Raw genomic sequence first — 24,134 nt, 5'->3', positions numbered from 1 at the left:
CAAATATTTTCTCCCATTCTGTGGGTTGTCTGTTTACTCTGATTATTATTTCTTTTGCTGTAAAGAGCTTTTTAGTTTAATTAGGTCCCATTTACTTATTTTTGTTTTTGTTGCATTTGCTTTTGGGGTCTTAGTCATGGATTCTTCGCCTAGGTTGAAGTCTAGAAGAGTTTTCCAAATTGTCTTCTAAAATTTTTATGGTTTCAAGTCTTATATTTAAGTCTTTGATACATCTTGAGTTGATTTTTTGTATAAGGTGATAGATACACAAGTCAATAAATGTGACATCGCATAAACAGAATTAAAAACAAAAACCATATGATCATCTCAATAGATGCGGAAATAACATTCGACAAAGTTCAGCATCTCTTTGTGATAAAAGCTCTTAACAACTAGGCATAAAAGAACTTGCCTCAAAATAATATATATGTGGATATACGACAAACCCACAACCAGCGTAATACTGAATGGGGAAAAGTTGAACACATTCCCCATGAGAACACGAACAAGACAAGGATGCCCACTTTCACCAATCCTATTCAACATAGTTCTGGAACTCCTAGCCAGAGCAATTAGGCAAGAGAAATAAATAAAGCGTATCCGGATTGGAAAAGAGGAGTCATACTCTCTCTATTTGCAGATGATATGATCATATACCTTGAAAATCCTAAAGACTCTTCCATGAGACTCTTAGATTTCATAAACAAATACAGTCAAGTCTCAGGTTACAAAATCAATGTACACAAAGAAGTACCACTGCTATACACCAACAACGACGAAGCTGAGAATCAATCAAGAACTCAATCCCTTTTACAGCAGCTGCAAAACAAAAACAAAAACAAAAACCTAGGAATATATTTAACCAAGGAGGTGAAAGATCTGTACAAGAACCACAAAACACTGCTGAAATTATAGATGACACAAACAAATGGAAACACATCCCATGCTCATAGAATCAACATTGTGAAAATGATCATACTGCCCAAAGCAATCTACAATCTGCTGAATGAAATTCCCATCCAAATACCATCATTTTTCACAGATTTAGAAAAAATAATCCCAAAATTCATATGGAACCAAAAAAGAGCCTGAATAGCCAAAGCGATCCTAACCAAAAAGAACAAATCTGGAGGCATCATATTACTGGACTTCAAATTATACTAGTTACCAAAACGGCATTGTACTGGTATAAAAGACCAATGGAACCAAATTTGTATATTTAAACCAGTTTAAAGTGTATAGTTCAGTGGCTTTTAGTACATTCCCAATGTTGTGCGACCATCACTAGTCCAGAACATTTTCATCACACAATAGAAAACTGTACCCACTAAGCAGCCACCCCACTCTCTATTCCCCTCTCTCCTCAGCCCCTGGCAACCACTCATCTGCTTTCTGTTTCTGTGGATTTGCCTATTCTGGATTTTTCTTATAAATGGACTCGAACAAGATGTAGCCTTTGCACCCAGCTGTTTCACCTGGCAACACGTCTTCAGCGAACATTCATACTGCAGCCTGTGTCAGTGCCTTACTCCTTTTTAAGGCTCAAGAAAAAGCCCATGTTCAATGATCAGAGGGAGGACCTACAGGACGCAGCATGAAGTCATGGCCACAGCTATGCACAAATTTATTACAGTGAAAGGACACAAAGCCATATCCGCAAAGGGAAAAGGCGCAGGGCATTAAGTCCAGAGGCATGAGCTTCCAAGAGTCCTCTCCAGCAGTCACAGGCACGTTTAATTCCCCCAAGGAATTAATTAATTAATTGAGAGAAGCTCATTAGGGACTCTGCATCCAGCGTTTTTATCAGGGGCTGGTCACATGGGCCCCTTCTGCCCAGCATATACCACATTCCAGACTCCTCACAGATAAGCCGCTGTTCAGCACAAACCACGTGTTTGCACAAACAGTTTCAGCACCGTGAGCCCCTCTCATCAGTTCTGGGAATGGTGTGAACCCTCCTGTAATCCTAGTTCTCAGACTCCAGCCAAGGGCCAGCCTTGCAAGCAGCCTTGCTAAGGAGAGCCATCCCAGGCCTCCTGGGTTAACTATTTTCTGCACAGAGGCAAAAACATGCCTGCCAACAGCATCTGGGCTTTGTATTTTAAGGTGATCTTACTCAGTTTTATTTCCAAAATTCCCGAGGAAGAGGCTGATGGGCCCAGCTTAGACTTGTTGGGGCTACTTCTCTGGTGTTTGTGTACATTAAAGTGGGAGAACGCGTCCCTCCCCATCTGCTGTGCGAACAATCTGACAGGTCTCTACACTGTTTGATATTTTTGTTCAGAAAGCCATTTTTATTCCTCAAAGTTTCATACCTCTGGGAGTGCACACACCAGTAACAGTGGGAGCAGGGTGCCCCAGAGCACACTGGCTCATGACAGAAAACCAACCAGAAACATGGCCATCAGGAGAGGACTGTGTCTCCCACAACACGGGAGAGCCCTTCGTCTTCATTTTCAAACAAACTCCACTGTTAGGTTGTAGCACAATGCCTGTACCACTTCAGAAGCCACTGTGTCAGAAACGGCACAGAAGCAGGGAGAGCAGGTAGAAAAGGCCTCAATAGAGTGGAAGCCCACAGTGCCGCGCATCTACTATTGGGGCTCTATCTTCACAACGAAGTCAGGGAAAGGACCACTCTGATGGCAATAAATAAGTCAAAGGATTTATGTTTTTTGAATTGTGCATGTAGCCTTCAAGAGACCTCTCTCAAAAAAGACAAGAAACAGAGCCCCAGGTGGGGTGATATTTCAGGGGTTGCTTGCTGTTGGCTAAGCAGATTTTAGTGCTTGTCTGTGAGAACTCAGAGACAGAAAAACAATTTGCCTGCAACGTGGGTGTTCTTTCCAGATTTAAAACAAGATTCAGTTTGGATAACACTCTGTCATCCAGGATGGAGTGCAGTAGCGCGATCTTGGCTCACTGCAACCTCTGCCTCCTGGGCTCAAGCTATCCTCCTGCCTCAGCCTTCCAAGTAGCTGGGACTACAGGTATGTGCCACCACAATCAGCTAACTTTTTTGGTATGCCCAGCCTGGTCTCGAACTCCTGGGCTCAAGGGATCTGTCTGCCTTGGCCTCCCAAAGTGCTGGGATTACTGGTGTGAGCCACCCTGCCAGGCCCCAAATAGGATTTGAACTACAGGAGATACTTGCATGTATCTTCATCTAAGGAACATGTGTATTAGGTTGGTGCAAAAGTAATTGCAGTTAATGGGAAAAAACGCAATTACTTTACACCAACCTAATATATATCTTCATCTAAGTAAATTTTTTCTATAAAGGGTCAAATTGTAAATAATTTCAGTTTGGTAGGTCATCTAACTGAAAAATTTCTGTTGCAACTACTCAGCTCTGCAGTTGCAGCAAAAAACAGTTCTAGAGAATATGTAAATGAATGTGTGGAGCTGTGTGCTTACGAAACTTATTTACAAAAACATGTGGTGGGCTGGATTTGCCATTCATCTGACTCAAGACTTAAATCTAGTTTAACAGTATCACTCACATCATTACTATTTCAAATTGCAAAAGCTTTGATGACATAAAATGATCACTTGTATTATCTTTATAAAATAAGAAGGGACCATGTCAAAATGAGAAAATTCTGAGTTATAACACAGTATATGTAATTCAGGCTAAGGGCATTTTTAGGTAAGCCACTTGGAAAAATGCCATTTTTCTGAAAAATGTTTTTATCACTCTTTTATGTGTGTATTTTAATTCAAAAAGTAACAGTTTAGGAAGAAATAACTGACTTGTGAATTGTCACAGGGCTGTGAAGTGGGACAGCAGCACTGTGGATTGTGCCCAGCTCAAGAGGCCCCTCAGGTCCATTCCTGACGCTGTCATCCCAGGAGAGCACCCTCCTCAGGGGTTTTATTTCTCCCTTTTAAATCTTTTCTCAGAAAGCATCTGGTTTAATTATTAACCACAATACTTCTTCATGGCCTTTCCTTCAGATTTTCCACCTCCAAATCGTAGGTCATAATATAACCTTTGATACAAAGAATATGCTTGGATTATGAATGATAATAACAAAATAAATACTTGTGAATCCTGCCTCCCAAGTAAAAACTAGATTACTAATAACTTGCATCTATCTCTTCTACTTTATTGTTTTGCTTCAATAATAATAATAATTATTATTATTATTATTATTTGAGATGGAGTCTCGTTCTGTCACCCAGGCTACAGTGCAGTGGCGTGATTCTGGCTCACTGCCACCACTGCCTCCTGAGTTTGAGCAATTCTAGTGCCTCAGCCTCCCGAGTAGCTGGGATTACAGTTGTGCGTCACCACGCCTGGCTAATTTTTATATTTTTAGTAGAGACGGGTTTTCACCATGTTGGCCAGGCTAGTCTCGAACTCCTGACCTGAGGGGATCCACCCACCTCGGGCTCCCAAAGTGCTGGGATTGCAGGCATGAGCCACTGTGCCTGGCCTTCAATTATTTTTTAATATACAAAGTAATACATGTAAATTTTTTAAGTTATAGTTTGATAATATTTATAATTTAAATGGCAGCTCCTACTCCACCCGATGTACTCCCTCCCAACATCTTCCTCATCCCTCTACTTAAGCCCTTCAAACTATATTTATTATTTTTAAATAAATAACTTATTGGTACATAAATCACACACCACAAAACATACCCTTTAAAAATGTGCTATTTGGTGGGGTTTTTTTGTATTTTTTTTTTTGAGATGGAGTCTCACTCTGTCGCCCAGGCTGGAGTGCAGTGGCATGATCTCAGCTCACTGCAACCTCCACCTCCTGGGTTCATGCCATTCTCCTGCCTCAGCCTCCCGAGCAGCCGGGACTACAGGTGCCTGCCACTACGCCCAGCTAATTTTTTTTTTTTTTTTTTGTATTTTTAGTAGAGAACGGGATTTCACTGTGTTAGCCAGGATGGTCTCAATCTCCTGACCTTGTTATCCGCCCGCCTCGGCCTCCCAAAGTGCTGGGATTACAGGCGTGAGCCACCACACCCGGCCATGAATAAACAATTTCTTATACAGAATACAACAAGCACTAACCATTAGAGGAAAGACTGATAAATTAGACTTAATTAAAATTAAGAACTTTGTTCATCAAAAGAAGAAATTTTTTTTTTTTTTAATTGATCATTCTTGGGTGTTTCTCGCAGAGGGGGATTTGGCAGGGTCACAGGACAATAGTGGAGGGAAGGTCAGCAGATAAACAAGTGAACAAAGGTCTCTGGTTTTCCTAGGCAGAGGACCCTGCAGCCTTCCGCAGTGTTTGTGTCCCTGGGTGCTTGAGATTAGGGAGTGGTGATGACTCTTAAGGAGCGTGCTGCCTTCAAGCATCTGTTTAACAAAGCACATCTTGCACCGCCCTTAATCCATTCAACCCTGAGTGGACACAGCACATGTTTCAGAGAGCACAGGGTTGGGGGTAAGGTCACAGATCAACAGGATCCCAAGGCAGAAGAATTTTTCTTAGTACAGAACAAAATGAAAAGTCTCCCACGTCTACCTCTTTCTACACAGACACGGCAACCATCCGATTTCTCAATCTTTTCCCCACCTTTCCCCCCTTTCTATTCCACAAAACTGCCATTGTCATCATGACCCGTTCTCAATGAGCTGTTGAGTACACCTCCCAGACGGGGTGGTGGCCGGGCAGAGGGGCTCCTCACTTCCCAGTAGGGGCGGCCGGGCAGAGGCGCCCCTCACCTCCCGGACGGGGCGGCTGGGTGGGCGGGGGGCTGACCCCCCCACCTCCCTCCCGGACAGGGCGGCTGGCCGGGCAGAGGGGCTCCTCACTTCCCAGTAGGGGCGGCCGGGCAGAGGCGCCCCTCACCTCCCAGACGGGGCGGCTGGCCGGGCGGGGGGCTGACCCCCCCACCTCCCTCCCGGACGGGGCGGCTGGCCGGGCGGGGGGCTGACCTCCCCACCTCCCTCCCGGATGGGGCGGCTGGCCGGGCAGCGGGCTGACCCCCCCCGCCTCCCTTCCCGATGGGGCGGCTGGCCGGGCAGGGGGCTGACCCCCACCTCCCTCCCGGACGGGGTGGCTGCCGGGCGGAGACGCTCCTCACTTCCCAGACAGAGTGGCTGCCGGGCGGAGGGGCTCCTCACTTCTCAGACGGGGCGGTTGCCAGGCAGAGGGTCTCCTCACTTCTCAGACGGGGCGGCCGGGCAGAGACACTCCTCACATCCCAGATGGGGCGGCAGGGCAGAGGCGCTCCCCACATCTCAGACCATGGGCGGCCTGGCAGAGACGCTCCTCACTTCCTAGATGGGATGGCGGCCGGGCAGAGACGCTCCTCACTTTCCAGACTGGGCAGCCAGGCAGAGAGGCTCCTCACATCCCAGACGATGGGCGGCCAGGCAGAGATGCTCCTCACTTCCCAGACGGGGTGGCGGCCGGGCAGAGGCTGCAATCTCGGCACTTTGGGGGGCCAAGGCAGGCAGCTGGGAGGTGGAGGTTGTAGCGAGCCGAGATCACGCCACTGCACTCCAGCCTGGGCACCATTGAGCACTGAGTGAACGCGACTCCGTCTGCCATCCCGGCACCTCGGGAGGCCGAGGCTGGCGGATCACTCGCGGTTAGGAGCTGGAGACCAGCCCGGCCAACACAGCGAAACCCCGTCTCCACCAAAAAAATACGAAAACCAGTCAGGCGTGGCGGCGCGCGCCTGCAATCGCAGGCACTCGGCAGGCTGAGGCAGGAGAATCTGGCAGGGAGGTTGCAGTGAGCTGAGATGGCAGCAGTACAGTCCAGCTTTGGCTCGGCATCAGAGGGAGACTGTGGAAAGAGAGGCAGAGGGTCCAGCTTTGGCTCGGCATCAGAGGGAGACTGTGGAAAGAGAGGCAGCGGCAGCGGCAGCGGCAGCGGCAGCGGCAGAGGCAGAGGCAGAGCCAAAAGAAGAAAATTTAAGGCACACTGGAAGAAGGTATTTGCCATATATGTATTTGACAAAGGACTTACATGGAGAATATATAAAGAATTCTTAAAAGCAATAAGGAAGAGAATGACATCTGATTCTTAAAATGGACAAAAGTTCATATGCTGTTTACAGAGCCAATACCCCCGCTCCCCACCACCAAACAAACAAAGTGGGCAAAAAACCTGAGCAGGTGCATCCCAAAAGGGACTATCCACATGGCCAATTTGCATATGAAAAGGTGCTCAATCTCCACTGCCAAAAGAAAAATGCAAATCAAAACCACAATGAGACACTACTACACATTACCCACATGACCTCCAGTAAAAAGACTGATGCTACCAAGTGTTGATGAAAATGCACAGAAATTGACCTCTCATAAATTGCTGAAAAGACATAAATTATACAAATATTTCAGGCATCTGTTTGGTACTATCCTAGAATGTATGCATACCCTAAGGCCCAGGAATTCCATTCTGAAGGATGTAACCAACAGGAACAAGCACATATGTGTTTCAAGAGACATCGACATGAACATAACAGCGCTATTCACCTTAGCCCCAAACTGGACTTGACTCAACGATCTATCAATAATAGAATGGGTAACTAAATAATGCTATAATCCTACAATGGGTTACTAAATGGTGAAGAAAATGAACAAATTACAGTATAGGTGACAACATGAATAAATCTCACTGATTCAATACTGTGTAAAAAAAAGCTCCCCTCCCTCTGTCTCTGTACAGGGGAGCCTCCATTTTCTGCCTTCTCCCATCCTTCTTGCCTATTAAACTTTCCGCTCCCTAAAACCAAAAAAAAAAAAAAAACATGCAAAATTACACAGTTTTTAAAATTCCATTTATAATAAAATTCAAATGCAAGCAATACTAACATAATATTCAGGGCTGCATACTTTTGTGAAAATCCATAAGGAGAATAATTGAGGACAATGGTTATCTTAGGGAGTAGTGAGGGGTTATGATGGGAAAGTTGTAGGAAAGGTCTGTGGGAGCTGGCGATGCTCTTCTTCTGGATGTGAGTGGTGACTGTGTGACTTTTCACTTCCTCCTAGTTCAAGAGACTATCATTTGAGGCCAGGAGTGGTGGCTCATGCCTGTAATCCCAGGACTTTGGGAGGCTGAGGTAGGTGGATCACCTGAGGACAGGAGTTTGAGACCAGCCTGGCCAACACGGTGAAACCCCATCTCTAGTAACAATACAAAAATTAACCAGGTGTGGTGGCTCACGACTGTAATCCCAGCTACTCCGGAGGTCGAGGCAGGAGAATTGCTTGAACCCGGGAGGCAGAGGTTGCAGTGAGCCGAGATCACGCCACTGCACTCCAGCCTGGGCAACAGAATGAGACTCCGTCTCTTAAACAACAACAACAACAAAAAACACTATAGTTTATATTTTGTGCATTTTTATCTTTGTGTATAGTGTTTCACACGCACAAAAAACTTAAACTTATACCAGGTATTAATTCCTTTTCTGAACAGAAAACAGATACTGTCGTAGTAAACAAAAACTCTTTAAACTAAATGCAAACAACTCTGAAAGCAACAGAAAGAAAATATTTGGAGAAGTTTTGGAGGCTCATTTATGTAGGGCCTTTATATGAATTAGGCAAAGCACTCTTCTTTGGGAGTGTAATTTAGCAAAAGCTGTCTCCTTGGGTGGAGGCCCCACTACAGCATTCTTTCATGCATTCCCACTGATCACAAAACCCACACCACTACCTCACTGACGCCATACCCACTAACAGTCACGCAAAGAAAACAGCCATTCTATATTGTTCTTCGGTGCTCTCATAATGTTAAACCTTGCCTTTTACTTAAAGGATTACAGGAACTGGCCTTAGGAGATCCAAAATATCCAACCAAGGTTGCAAGTATCCCACCTCAGGAAGGAATGCTAAACAACTGATTCATACAGCCTTGCTGCCACTAACCAGAGCACCAGATGGCCCATTACTCAAGACAACCATTGCCAGCAGATAAGCTGACCCATGTCCCCTCCCCCTCACGTTCTCTACCCTGCCCAGCCCGCATTCCCTACCTTGACATCAATTTCCGCACATTGCCTAATAAAAGAAATCCCTATCAGCTCATTTCAGGGAGTCAGCCAGAGAATCCTCCCTCTCCTGTGCTTCCTCCCTTGTGCCTGGGCATATGCTCCAATAAAGCCTTGCTAGGAAAACTCTTTTGGCCTGGTGAGAATTTCTATTGCATCAAGAGCCTAAGAACCCATGATCGGTAACACTTTGAGCAAAGGAAAAGGTCCCCCTTCCCTAGGGAGATGCAGCTCTGCATGCACCCATATGTTTGGTGGGTGGAGTGCAAACTGGCTTCCCGTTGCATATGCCTCTCTGTCTAGGAGAACAGAAAGATGATAATTACATGCATATTGGTCCACCAAGCACAGGCACACATGGAACATGTACTGGCACAGGCCTACTACTGCCCAGGGCTGGTGGAAGCTGGCTGACATTGTCCCTTACCATGTAACCTTCTGTCTTCTTCTGGTACCATTTCAGTACAGCATTGCACTTGAAACCGCCATATTCCCGGGCCAAGGCCACCAGAGGGTTTCTTCTTTCCACACTGGTTAGAGAGAAGAGCACATGTTAAGGAGAAGATGCTAATGTTTAGAATCCTCAAATTCACAAGAAATAAATACCTACTTTAGAAAAGCAAATGTCTGGTTTATTCAGCCAGAATCTGAAGAAACAACCACATTAGTTACATTAATAATGTATTTGATGTCTCACAGTGTGAAACAAACATGAAATTGTGCCTCCTGACTGTCATGAGTCTGGGGAGAGTTTTGCTACATTTTGTTTTAAAATCCATCTGTTGCTCATCCATCTAGTCTTTTATTTGTGTAAATATAATTCAGGCTAGAACCTTTAATTCAATCTCATTTGAATTAAGGATATCTATACAAAAGCATTCTACAGCTTTCAAGACTACATCAGTATCTAAATAAATTTAAAAGGTAGAGACTGGCACAGCACAGTGGCTCACGCCTGTAATCCCAGCACTTTGGAAAGCTGAGGCAGGAGGATTACCTGAGCCCAGGAGCTTGAAACCAGCCTGGGAAACATAGTGAGACCTCAACTCTGAAATAAATAAATAAATAAATAAATAAATAAATAAGCTGGGCATGGTAGCGCACACCTGTAGTCCCAGCTATTCAGGAGGCTGAGGTGGGAGGACTGCTTGAGGCCAGTTCAAGGATGTAGTGAATTATGATTATACCACTGCACTCCAGCCTGGGCAACAGAGCGAGACCCCCATCTCTAAAAAATAAAAAAAAATTTTTCAAGGTATATTGGAAGGGCATATTAAAAATACCAGATATCCTGCCATTGCTTTATCTCAATGAGATAAATGTAAAATTGAAATAAATTGATTTTACTAATTTAACTTTTCACTATGAAAGATAAAATATCAGTAGCATATTAATATACCCATAGCCTTCCTGTATGCATTTCTGGTATAATGAAAAGGAGAATTTTAGAATAGCACTAATTCTGGTTTTTAAAACCTCTTTTGATTATTTAAATCTCGCGCACATAAACAGGACAATATGTAATATCTGGGGCTTTAAATTAAACCTCTAAAATATATGACTTCATCTATTTGCGTGCAAATATAGGCTACATCCAAAGGTATAACAATAAGTCCTAGCTTATTCATTCAGACTTTCATAAATCCTTTGATAGTACCCTTATTAGTAATGATAATATGTATTAAAAAGCTACTACTAGCTACTTAGGAGGCTGAGGCAGGAGAATTGCTTGAACCCGAGGCAGAGGTTGCAGTGAGACTCTGTCTCCCAAAAAAAAAAAAAAAAAAAAGCTATTACTCCAAAAGTAGCCAATTTTGTATACTGATAAATAAACAATACATTCATATTGTATATGAATGAGCATACTCATTCGTAAGTTTTACTGAGTGAAATGTTATGTGTGTTGCACAATGCAAGGGGCTGGGAGAGATACCAAAGGTAAGCTGAACATTTACTGTCCACTAAATTACAGCATAAATGGAGATTAAGGCATATATTGTGCAGAAGTTATCCACACCACAAAGCAGTACAGAAATTAAACACCTGAAATAGCGTAAGACACCAAAGTCAGAGAAGGGAGATGTTGGCCAGGAATGGAGGCTCACACCTGCAATCCCAGCGTTTTGGGAGGCTGAAGTGGGCAGATCAGGAGTTTGAGACCAGCCTAGCCAAAATGGTGAAATCCTGTCTCTACTAAAAAAAATACAAAAATTAGCTGGGTGTCATGGTGCATGCCTTTATAATCCCAGCTACTCAGGAGGCTGAGGCATGAGAATCACTTGAACCCAGGAGGCAGAGGTTCCAGTGAGCCCAGATCATGCCACTGTACTCCAGCCTTGGTGACAGAGTGAGGATCTGTCTCAAAAAAAAAAAAAAAGAAAAGAAAAAGAAAAAAGAAGGGAGAAGGGAGATGTCAATGCTGCCAGGTGTTAGCTATAACTTCATGAAAGTTTTGACCTTTAAATAAAGAGAACAGTATTTAGAGTGTGAAAGGACAAAAGGAGGACAATTCAAGTTAGAACCTTATACACAAAGACTTACACTCAAATATGCTTGTGCAATATTGCTATGGCACGGACTAAAACAGGTTCAGGTGGAGGGAGAGGCTGGGCCATTCTGGCAGGTGGGCAGGGGTGGTGCTAAGTAGTGGAGCATCTAGAAGATCAGGATGAGGAGTGCAGAGGACAGAGTCATGGGAAATTTCTGCAAGGTCTGCAGCAGTATGTGCTCAGTGCTTCAGAAGATCAACCAACATGAAGAAGCAGGAAGACATGAGAGAGGAAACAGTTGAAAGAGGTTTGCTGTAACCTGGGTGACCAGGGGCACTGAAAAGGGAGGAGGTGACAGAGGTGTGGCAGCAAAGACCAGCTCTTAGTGACCACCCTGTTGGCCTTGCAGTCCTGCCCTCTGCCAAGCCCTCCTTCACATCCCTGCAAAAGTCCTCCTTAAACACTGATTTCAAAATACCTCTCTAATCCTTACATGCCACTGTTTTCTCATGACTCCTCCTTAAAATATGGGTCCAATCTCACTGTACCATAACTCAAAAACAGGAACAAAATCCCACAAACTTGGTGGCTCCTCAGTGCTTTATCAAAACAAAGCACAAACCTCTTCCTTAGCAATGAAGATTTGCAATATGGCTCCAACCTGCCTTCCAGCTGGAATGTCCTAGTCACCTATCCATCCACCCAACAAATACTGACAGAGAGCCTACCATGCATATATATGGCAGAGTCCCTGGCCTTAGGAAGCCCACAGTCTAGTCCAGACACACATTACCACCCACATTCCCTGAACTTCTACTTCTCTCTACACTTCTTATGCCAACTAACAACTCTCAAGTACTTTGCCTATTTAGTATTGTATTTTTACAGCTCTTAATTTCATCTTGACACTACTTACTGTCCAGCATCTTCCTTTTAAACTCACTGAAGACGGGCACTGCATCTTAATTATTTTCATGCAGCAAATATTTGTCGAAGTCAATTGTCCAGGAGGACAAAACAGAAGGAACAATCAAAGCTGATAAGCCCTATGTTTTTCTGATTTCTTACTGTTTGAGACATGATACCTGAAACTGCTTCGTGGTTCCCTCTTTCTTGGGGCCACTTCCACTTTCCCTCTGGTGGAGGTGCTCAGCAGTCTCATGTCCCCAAAGTCCAGAGAGTGGGGGTCTGCTGAGTGACTCCAGCAAGGAACTCTTGCAGAGGTGGGGGTCTGGCTTCAGTTCCTAGGTCCTTCCCTTTCGAAGATCTGTGGGAACGACCACATAATCACCTATTCCTGAAGAAGAGGCTCTTAATTGCCATCAAACATCATTCTCCAGTACAACACAGTTCTCATTTTATCCTCAAGTATAAACATATATATGCTTCCGATGTAATGAAAATGCAATAGGGACGTGGATTCTCCAGGCAGGACCACCACTTCCTTTATAGGATCTATATGCAAATCAACCCTTGTTCAAAAATTATTGTGAATTTCAAGACGATGTCATCAGAGCATTAAACCCAGCATGCACCTTTCTAAGGGCCTTATGAAATTGCCCTTACCTGGGGAAAGACATTACCTGCCCCCAGGTAATGTTTTAATTGACAGACATCAGAGAGAGAGAGAGTGGCAGGAAAATGCCTCATGTGATGACCAGGTCACAGGCAGCGGCAGGCAAGAAGGAAACTGGGAACCAAGAAGAACCTTTTTACGTGAGAAAGGCCATTCCAGCCACAGGGCCTGGTTCAATAAAAAAGCAGAAATCATTCTGTAGCAGATAAGAGCTGCAGACAAAACCCCTCAGACACTGAGTTAAAGAAGGAAGGGGTTTATTCGTCCGGGAGCATCAGCAAGACTCCTGTCTCAAAAGCCGAGCTCCCTGAGTAAGCAATTCCTGTCCCTTTTAAGGGCTCACAACTCTAAGGGGGTCCGCATGAGAGGGTCGTGATCGATTGAGCAAGCAGGGGGTACCTGACTGGGGGTTGCATACACCAGTAATTAGAACAGAACACAACAGGACACGGATCTTCACAGTGCTTTTCTTATGCAAATAACCGATTAGGTCAGGGGTCGATTTTTTAACTACCAGGCCCAGGGTGTGGTGCCGGGCTGTCTGTGGATTTCATTTCTGCCTTTTAGTTTTCACTTCTTCTTTCTTTGGAGGCAGAAATTGGGCATAAGACAATATGAGGGGTGGTCTCCTCCCTTAATTCTTTCAAGGCTCTTTCTGCTGTCATATTAGTCACAATCAAAACAGATAATGAAATAGACTGAATCCTCCAGGTGATATTTCTTTTTCTTTTTTAGATATGGAATTTCGCTATGTTGCCTAGGCTGGATTTGGACTTAACCTCCTGGGCTCAAGTGATCCTCCCACCTCAGCCTTCTGAGTAGCTAGGACTATAGGAGCATGCCATGATACCTGGTCAGATGATATTTCGTAAAGGACCATAAAAATATAGAACAGGATAAACCTTTCAAGATTGTCTAGTTTATAGTTATAGGGGAAACTGGAGCTGAGAGAACTAAGTGCTTTGTTTAGAGCTACATAGCAAGCCAGAGACCAGGCCCACAGTTGCTGCCCATGACCCACAAACAGTCACGGAAGAAAACAATCCTTCTACAGCTCACAGCCACCAATTATGGGTACTAAAGTTGGGAGTGGGGCTAATTAGCTCTAAATAGCAGAGAAAAACAGTATTTACATCACTAAAGAGAACAACAAAAACAGCCCATTAATCCCTGTTTCTGCAGCTTCTGATGATCTCAATGTTGACAAGCAACTTCTGGTGATTGCTGGAAGCAAGCAATTGTCACTGTGATCCTTTATTACAGTAAATAGAATCATCCAAGCAGACCGGTGCCTGGAGGGGGCTAAGTGAGGAGTACTGTCAATGAGGTATTTACTTCAGGGCAATAGTTGTTGTGGTCTCAACTTTAGTATGCATCTTGGCAACTAAAAGAATGGTTTTTTTGGCCAAGCATGGTAGTTCACATCTCAGTGCTTTGGGAGGCTTAGGTGAGAGGATTGCTTGAGGCCAGGAGTTCAAGACCAGCCTGGGCAACAAGGCAAGACCCTATGTCTTTAAAAAAATCAGCAACAAAGTTTCTGTCTCCCTAGCACAAGCACACTGAGAGGTGCAGCTGGCAGGAGATAAGACACTTATTCCTTGTGTCAGCTGCACTGCTGGATCTAACGTCCATGACACGTCCATTATTCTGGGGTTGAAACTGCAGTAAGTCAAAAGTCTTTTATGTTTATGTAATTTACCTGTAAGGGGAAGGTCAGGAAGGTCCAAGCATTGAGTCATCCCTTTGCTGGCCGACCGCACACTGCTCTAAGCCAGATGCCTCTGTAAAAACCAGTGGGGCAACAGAATGGTGAGCTTGTAACATCAAGAACAGCACCAACACAGGTGCGTGTGTGTGTGCACACGCGTGTGTGTGTCCAACAGTTCTTAAACACAGTGGAATAACTGGGGGAGTTTTTAATTAACTCATTTATTCAAATAGGTAATATATGCAATAGACACAATCCTCAAAAGAAACAAAAAGGGCAAATAGTGAAGAGAAAGTCTCCCTTTCACTCCTGCACCCCAGTTCTCCTTCCCAAGAGTACTCATTACTAATCAGCTTTGTGAATATCTTTCCTGGAATGTTCTCTGTATATTCAAGGACGTGTGTAAAAGCATTTTATTTTGAATGGCCAACAAGTATATGAAAAGATGCTCAACATCACTAATCATCAGGGAAATGCAAATCAAAACCACAGTGACATGCCACCTCACACCTGTTAGGAAGGCCATCATCAAAACCCAGAAAAAAACAAGTGCTGGTGAGGAGGCAGAGAAACCCTTGTGCACTGTTCATGAGAGCGTACAATGGTGTAGCCATTATGGAAAACAGTATGGAGGTTCCTCAAAAACATAACAATAGAACTACCAAATGATCCAGCAATGCCACTTCTAGGTATTTATCCCAAAGAATTGAAAACAGAATCTCAAAGAGATATTTGCACTCTCATGATCATTGCAGTGTTATTCACAAAAGCTAAGAGGTGGATGCAACCCAAGTGTCCACCACCAGATGAATGGATGAAGAAAAGATGGTACATAATATACAATGGAATATTATTACCCATAAAATGGAGATATTCACCCATAAAAAGGAAATCCTGTCTCATGCTACAACATAAATGAGCCTTGAAGACATTATGCTAAGTCAAAGAAGCCGGTCACAGAAGGACAAATGTTGCATGATTCCATGTATGTGAGTATATTAGTCCACTTCACACTGCTATAAAAACAAGTCAGTTACCTCCAAGATACAATGGGAGTACAGGCATTGAATAAATGCTCCTGTTCCAAATGGGAGAAATTGACCAAAATAAAGAAGCCACAGGCCCCAGGCAAGTCCAAAACCCAGTGGGGCAGTCATCAAATCTTAAAGCTCTGAAACGATCTCCTTGACTCCATGTCTCACATCAGGTCACACTGATCCAAGGGGTAGGCTCCTATGGTCTTCGGCAGCTCCATCCCTGTGGCTTTACAGGGTACAACACCCCTTCTAGCTGCTTTCACGGGCTGGTGTTGAGTGCCTGTGGTTTTTCTGGGTGCACGGTACACACTGTCAGTGGATCTACCATTCTGGGGTCTGGAGGACAGTGTCCCTCTTCTCACAGCTCCACTAGGCAGTGCCCCAGGGGGGTTCTGTGTGGGGGCACCAACCTCACATTTCTCTTTTGCCCTGCCCTAGCAGGGGATCTCCATGAGGGTTCCATCCCTGCAGCAGACTTCTGCCTGGTCATCCAGGCATTTCCATACATCCTCTGAAATCTAGACAGAGGTTCCTAAACCTCAGTTCTTGACTTCTGTGTACCCACAGGTCCAACACCACATGGAAGCCACCAAGACTTGGGGCTTGCACCCTCTGAAGCAATGGCCCAAGCTGTACATTGGCCCCTTCTAGCCACCACTGGAGCTAGAGCAGCTGGGACACAGGGCACCAAGTCCCAAGGCTGCACAGAGCAGGGCGGCCCTGGGCCCAGGCCACAAAACCATTTTTAACTCCTAGGTCTCTGGGCCTGTGATGGGACAGGCTGCCACCAAGATCTCTGACATGTCCTGGGGACATTTTTTCCCACTGTTTTGGTGATTAACATTCGGCTCCTTGTTATGTAAATTTCTGCAGCTGGTCTGAGTATCTCTCCAGAAAGTTGGTTTTTCATTTCTATTGTACTGTCAGGCTGCAAATATTCCAAACTTTTATGCTCTGCTTCCCTTTGAAACATAAGTTCCAATTTCAGATCATTTCTCTCAAGTTCAAAGTTCCACAGATCTCTAAGGCAGGGGCAAAATGCCATCAGTCTCTTTGCTAAAAGACAGCAAGAGTGACCTTTGCTCCAGATCCCAATAAGTTCCTCAACCCCATCTGAGACCACCTCACCCTGGACTTCATTTTCCACATCGTATCAGCATTTTGGTCAAAACCATTCAACAAATCTCTAGCAAGTTCCAAACTTTCCCACATCTTCCTATCTTGTTCTGAGCCCTCCAAACTGTTCTAACCTCTGCCTGTTACCCAGTTCCAAAGTCACTTCCACATTTTCAGGCTATCTTTATAGCAGTACCTGACTCTACTGCTACAAATTTACACTATTAGTCAGTTTTCACGCGGCTATAAAGACCTTCCCTGAGACTGGGAATTTATAAAGAGGTTTAATTGACTCACAGTTTCACATGGCTGAGGAGGCTTTAGGAGACTTACAATCATGGTAGAAAGGGAAATAGGCACCTTCTTCACAAGGTGGCAGGAGGAAGGTGGGGGAAGGCGGGGACAGAGAAAGACAGAGTGCATGTGGAGGAGGAACTGTCAAACACTTATAAAACCAGGAACTGTCAAACACTTATAAAACCATCAGATCTCGTGAGCACTCACTATCACAAGAACAGCATGGGGGAAATGGACCCCATCACTTCCCACCAAGTCCCTCCCTAGACACATGGGGATTATGGAGATTACAATTCGAGATGAGATTTGGGTGGGGACACAGAGCGAAACCGTATCAGTGAAGAATCTAAAGTAGTCAAACTCACAGAAGCAGAGAGTAGAGTGGTGGCTGCCAGAGGTTGTGGGGAGGGCAAGTGGGGAGTTGTTCAGTGGGTACAGTTTCAGTCAAGCAAGATAAAAAAGTTCTAGAGGACAAAAAGATGGCAACAATAGACATTGGAGAGTGGTAGAATGGGGTGGGGGGCAAAGGTTGAAAAACTACCTATTGGATACTATGCTCACCACCTGGATGATGGGATCAATTGTACCCCAAACCTCAGCATCCCACAATATACCCATGTAACAAACCTGCACATGTACCCTGAATCTGAAATAAAGTTGAAATTTTAGAAAAAGTTTCTGGAGATCTGCTGTACAACATTGTGCTTATAGTTAACCGTACTTAAAAATTTGTTAAGAGGGTAGTTTTCATGGTGTATTTGTTTTACCACCATTAAAAAAAAGCATTTCAGAATGCAGGTGAGAGTGATATTATTCAAGGAAAACCCTTGAAGAAAAACCCTCTGTTATTCTAAAAACACAAATGTTATCACAGGATTCCATTGCTTTGCATACCGTTTTGCTTCTTTCACTTACTGGTCATTCTCTAACCTTTTTGGTGGCTTCTCATGGGAAGTGTTACACAAGAGGCCAAGCACAGGGCTCTGGGGCCACATAGCCACCAACCAGCTGCACAACTCTGGGTTACTTCATCCTCTGTGCTTCATTTTCTTTATCTATAAAATGGCACTGATATAAATAGTACCTACCCCAGAGGATTGTTGGGGGGGATTAAATGAGTTCAATCTGGTCGGGTGTGGTGGCTCATGCCTGTAATCCCAGCACTTTGGGAGGCCGAGGCGGGTGGATCACTTGAGGTCAGGAGTTCAAGAGCAGCCTGGCCAACATGGTAAAATCCCATCTCTACTAAAAAAATATAGAATTAGCCGGGTCTGGTGGTGCAGACCTGTAATCCCAGCTACTTGGGAGGCTGAGGCAGGAGAATTGCTTGAACCCAGGAGGTGGAGGTTGCAGTGGGCCAAGATGGTGCCATTGCACTCCAGCCAGGGCAACAAGCAAAACTCCGTCTCAAAAAAAAAAAAAAAAAAAAAAAAAGAGTTAAATCCAGTTAGAACAATCAAAACATGGCCTGGTACATAGTAGACATTCAATAGATTTTAGCTATTTTCATTACCATAATTTATTTGATCGATTCTCTGTCAATACTGGCATTGATATTGATATAAGCATAAGGAAATGAATATCCTGGTACATCTGTCTGTGCACATGAGTGAGCAGAGCCATTGTGAGGTTTTCCAAAGCATTCTTTCCCTTAGAGGTCCTACTCCACATCGCATTAAACACAATTCCATGTATCCATGTCTCACGTAAATATAATGGTGTACAGTTTTCAAAAGTAGTTTTATATCTTGCTTTTGAAATGAGCTGAACAAAAGTGACAATATGGGGCATTCCTATCTCATTCATAATCTTGTGGGAAAGCGTCCAATATTTCACCATTAAGTATGATGTATGATGTAGATATATAATAGAGACCCTTCATCAGATTAAGGAATTGCCCTTCTATTCCTAGTTTTCTAAGACTTTTCATTAAGAAAGGTATTAATCTTTATTGAACATATTTTCCTATCATCTAATAAGATGACTATACTTTTTATACCTTTGTTAATGTGGTAAATTAACTCTGGTTGGTTTCAGTAGTTAAAACCACCTTGCATTCCTCGAATAAACCCAATTTAACATGATCTTTTAAATGTATCTCTGAGGCCAGGCGCAGTGGCTCACGCCTGTAATCCCAGCACTTTGGGGGTCGAGGTGGGCAGATCACCTGAGGTCAGGAGTTCGAGACCAGCCTGACCCACATGGAGAAACCCCGCCTCCACTAAAAATACAAAATTAGCCAGGCCTGGTGGCGCATGGCTGTAATCCCAGCTACTCGGGAGGCTGAGGCAGGACAATCACTTGAACTTGGGAGGCGGAGGTTGCGGTGAGCCAGGATCGTGCCATTGCACTCCAGCCTGGGCAACAAGAGTGAAACTCCGTCTCAAAAATAAATAAGTAAATAAATAAATAAATGTATCTCTGAATTAGGTTTTCCAAGATTTTGTTCTGGATTTTTGCATGGAGGTTCATGAGAGACACTGACCTTTTAATTTTCCTGTCTTTTAATGTCCTTGCAAGAATTAGGTATCGAAGATACACTGGCCTCTTAAATGATCTAAGAAAGTTTACCCTTTTTTCTAGTCTTTTTCTAGTCTCTGTATGAATATACATAAGACTGGTGTTATTTCTTCCTTAAATGTTTGGGAGATTTCATGATGAAACCATCTGGGCCTCCTGGCATTTCCTTTGAGAAAATTATTTAAATTACAGACTATCAGGATTTCCTACTACTTTTTATGTCAGTTTAGTAAGTGATGTTTTTCTACGATTTTGACCATTTCATCAACATTTTCTAATTTATAGAGTAGTACTATACAGAGCACTAATCTGTAATCTCCTCATCACTGTTTTCATAATTATGGGATCTTTAGTGATACACCCCTTTAAAAATTCCTGATATAGCTAATTTATGCCTTTTCTTTATATCAGCCTCGTCAGAGGTTCATCAATTTTAATAATCTTTTAAAAGAACAAACTTCGTGCAGAACTTTTTAAGATAATCTTTTCATCACAAGTACACTGGTAAAAAAGAAATCTGTTTTTGTTGTACTGAAAGCATCTTCCTTTTGTGTTCACCTTTGAAGGGTATTTTCACCAAGTACGGTATTCTAGGAAAGCAGGCATTCCTTCTGCATTTTGCAGACGCCACTGCATTGTCTTCTGGCTTCCATCATTTTTGTTGAGAAGGCAGATGTCAGTTTTAGCTCTTGCTCCTTTGATATTAAGGTTTCTTTTTTCCCTTTGAGTGCTTTTACAATGCTTTCTCTTTCATTACTAGCAGTTTTAGCCTAATGTGTCTAGGTGGTTTTCTTTGCACTTACTTTGCTTTCGGTTCATGTTGTTCTTGAATCTAGGGCTTAACATCTGTTTAGTTTTCAAAATTCTTGGCCATTATCTCTTCCAATACTGCTTCTGCCCTATCTGTCTTGTTTTTCTTGTTTTCCCTTTTGGGGACTCCAATTACACATTAGATCTTTTCACCCCATCCCATATAGCTCTTATGTCCTTTTCTCTATTTCCTATTCTTTGTTTTCTCTGCGCTTCAGTTCAGATATTTCTATCAACTTGTCTTTAGTTCCTTAAGCCTCTCTGAAAATGTTTAATCTACAGGTAAACTTTGTTGAGTCTTAAATTTAGGCATTTTATTTTTAAGTTATAACATTTCTAATGGATTCTTTTTTATAGATTGTGGTTTTCTGCTGAAATTATCCACCTTGTTACTTATTTTCTTTACTGGATTAATCTCAGTTGTTTTAAAGTCCGTGTCTAATATCTGGATCTCCTGTGTCTGCTTCTGTTGCCTAGTTTTCTCTTGTTTTTTTCATCATTTGGTATTATCTATTTGTATACTTAGTATTTTTAAAATTGACTATGACACCATATATTTTTTTAATGTGGCTATAAGTTGAGGTTCTGGATGATGTAATCTTCCTTCAAAGAGTATTTACTTCTGAGTCCAGAAGTCAGTTAAGATAGGGAAAGATCACTTAAATTCAAACCCATGTTTCTATGGGTTTTAAGACTGAACAAATAAAAGACTTCTTTAAGATGTTAAGGAAGAATATTTTCATAATCTAATAGCTAGAAAGGTCTTTTTAAGGCAGGAAACAAAACACTTAAAATCATAAAGGAAAGCACTGAATACAAGATGCAACATTTTTCTTCAGTAAAATATAACTTCAAACAAAGTTCAAAGATAAAGAAAATAATAGCATTACATATAAAAAAGTTAAAAAGCACAATATATCAAGATTTCTTACAAATAGGAAAAAGACTAATACCTCAAAATAAATACAGGCAAAGTATGTAAGTTTTCATTCACACATATAAAAGATAGATAAACGGTCTGTAAACATATGAAGTGCTCAACCTTACTGAAGGACAAAGTAAATCAAGTTATTATTGTTCATTTACTTAATCTTTAAAATTTATAGAGTGTGAAAATTCTGGGAAAACAGTACCTTGCATGCTATGAGTGGGAGGGTAAACTGACGGCAATGTGTCTATCAAGTTTTTCAACGTGCCAGGACAGGTCAAATACACTTCCTTTTCTAGGACTCCATTTTCCTTTTCTAGGAATCAATGTGTGGAAGATCTCAGGACAGGCTCACTTGATTCCATCCTCGTCTCTTTGAAGGGTGACTTACTGACTTACATGAGACTGGAAAGCTAAGGGGTGTATTTGCCAAAGTCCTTAAAGCTTGGCTCATTAAGTGGCCTAGTTTCTGTCAAACAGGCCCCTTCTCAGAGGATGTGGAAGGTACAGGGAGTAGAAGGCTGCCCTTCTGCAGCTTCTCCTGGCAAGCATGGCTGGGAAGGCATTTGCTGTTCTGTGGCAGGGAAGTGGAGATTCTTGGGTCTGTTCCATCATCTTCTGGGCAGTATGAGGCAGGCACAGAGCATGGTGTGCTGGCATGGACTGCACCTGTGGCTGTGTGGTCCCAAGGCTGATCCTAGATCTTGGCAGCAGTGGTGGACCTGGGCATGTACCTACAGAAAGACTTCCTGATTCTGGCAGGAACAGAAGCTCCTTTACTGGACCAGCATTGAGATGCTCTGGGAACCCTTCCTGGAAGCTCAGTGGACAGAGCCTACTGCCTTCTCCAGCCCTTCCAGTACCAAATGCCCTGGATTAAATCCCTTTCTGCTTAACTACAGTGATCTCTCATATTTGCAAATGAATCTTGATCCACCCTTATGCAGAAATAGCCCCTTTAGTGGTCAAAAAATTGCATAAGGATCTTCACTTTATTGTTTACCCCAAGTAACCTAAAATCTATCAGTAGAAGTATGGCTATATACATTGATGTGTATTATGTAACCTTTACAAAAAGGAATCATTTCTCCAAATGTTGCAATGTAAAGATGTCTCAGACATATTCCTTTATTCATTCAACAAATATTTGTTGAGCTTCTATCACGATGTGACCATGTTTCACTCCCTGTTATCGACAAAAGATGTGTTAGCAAGCAAAATAAACAAAAATCTTGGTCCCCACGGAGCTCACATTCCAATGATAACGTGAAATGAGTAAGTGTTGGACTAATGTGTAGTATAATCCAATTTACACAACACACACCCTCTCTCTACACACACAGACACAGACACACACACACATATGTATAAAGAAAAACATCTAGAGGGATATAAAACAAACCATAAGCAGTGGTTATTCCTGGGGCTCATCTACCTGGCAGGAGAGACAGCAGCTGCTGGGGAGGTCCTCACTGGTATTTCGCTTAGGAGGCTTCTAAGGGCCTTATGGACAGAAGTATTCTGTCCAGTTCCATCTGCCAAGAAAAGAGATGGGAACATTTACATGTTGTTCCAGTTCAAAATAGCAAATAATACTTTTTGATTTACCTCTTTGGTGACTTGAGAAGTATTCCATGGTGTTTAGTGTGATATTTATTATTCTTTTCTCCTCTGGACTAGAGCTGAATTGGAGAAATGAGAGGGGAGGAGTTGTTAGCTGAGTGGAGGCTAGTCCTAGATGTAGGACAACTGAGTAAAACGAATATGTTTAAATAATGAGGTGCCTAGGGGAGGAAGGAACAGGAAAGTTCTTGCACAAACTGTGACTGTTAATTCACTTCCCATCTTCACTGACTCACTCACTGGGCTTTCATGTCTTTCAATACATGTAGTTTAATCTTCATTTAATTTAATTGCAAACTATTTTAGCAGAGATAATAACCGGGTACATTCTAGGATTAATTTTTACTACAGCCTTTTTTTTTTTTTTTTTTTTTCTGAGACAGAGTGTTGCTCTGTTGCCCAGGCTGGAGTGAAGTGGGGCGATCTCGGCTCACTGCAAGTTCTGCCTCCCGGTTCATGCCATCCTCCTGCCTCAGCCTCCTGAGCAGCTGGGACTACAGGCACCCACCACCATGCCCAGCTAATTTTTTGTATTTTTAGTAGAGACGGGGTTTCACCATGTTAGCCAGGATGGTCTCAATCTCCTGACCTCGTGATCCGCCCGCCTCGGCCTCCCAAAGTGCTGGGATTACAGGCGTGAGCCACCGTGCCCAGCCTACTAGAGTCTTTCAATACAATGGCATGTTCATTGCAGTCCAGGAAGAAAGATACTGTTACAGTGGACAGATGCATATTGTTTCTTCTATTTGCTATCTTTATGTGTACAGTATATGTATGAAGTATAGCTATGCATCTTTCTCATACATGAAGATAAACATGACTAAAGGGGTATTGTGAGTCTATCAGAAAATTCCAGGAAACCTGGGAGCACACCAAGATCAGAAGTGACAGATCAACACAGGTGCTCACATACAAGACCAGGTAGAAAAATGTCTAGCAGGCTGCAAGATGGGGATGGCCAAGGGTGCCTACAAAAGGGTCAGGTGCACAGTTGTGACGCCTGGTTTCCTTGGAGATGAAGCCTCTGGCTGACCGTGCTATTTCTCATGAAA

At 43.2% G+C, this 24,134-nt stretch overlaps 1 pseudogene across 1 annotated transcript in view; it reads right to left on the bottom strand.

The window, feature by feature from the left end:
- Nucleotides 1–24,134, bottom strand: part of LOC100287072 (ribosomal protein S6 kinase B1 pseudogene) — a 107,286-nt pseudogene that overhangs the window by 49,528 nt on the left and 33,624 nt on the right. Inside the window, exons 2-4 of the transcript NR_172472.1 lie at nucleotides 12,553–12,734; nucleotides 9,406–9,508; nucleotides 6,097–6,766 (exon numbers count right to left, since the gene is read on the bottom strand). The product of NR_172472.1 is annotated as a ribosomal protein S6 kinase B1 pseudogene (transcript). The remainder of the gene's footprint in view (nucleotides 1–6,096; nucleotides 6,767–9,405; nucleotides 9,509–12,552; nucleotides 12,735–24,134) is intronic.

Source organism: Homo sapiens, chromosome 17 (assembly GCF_000001405.40).
Source record: "Homo sapiens chromosome 17, GRCh38.p14 Primary Assembly".
Classification (NCBI taxonomy): Eukaryota; Metazoa; Chordata; class Mammalia; order Primates; family Hominidae; genus Homo; species Homo sapiens.
The sequence above is the reverse complement of the archived record's forward strand: the minus strand, read 5'-3'. Positions and strand labels throughout refer to the sequence as shown.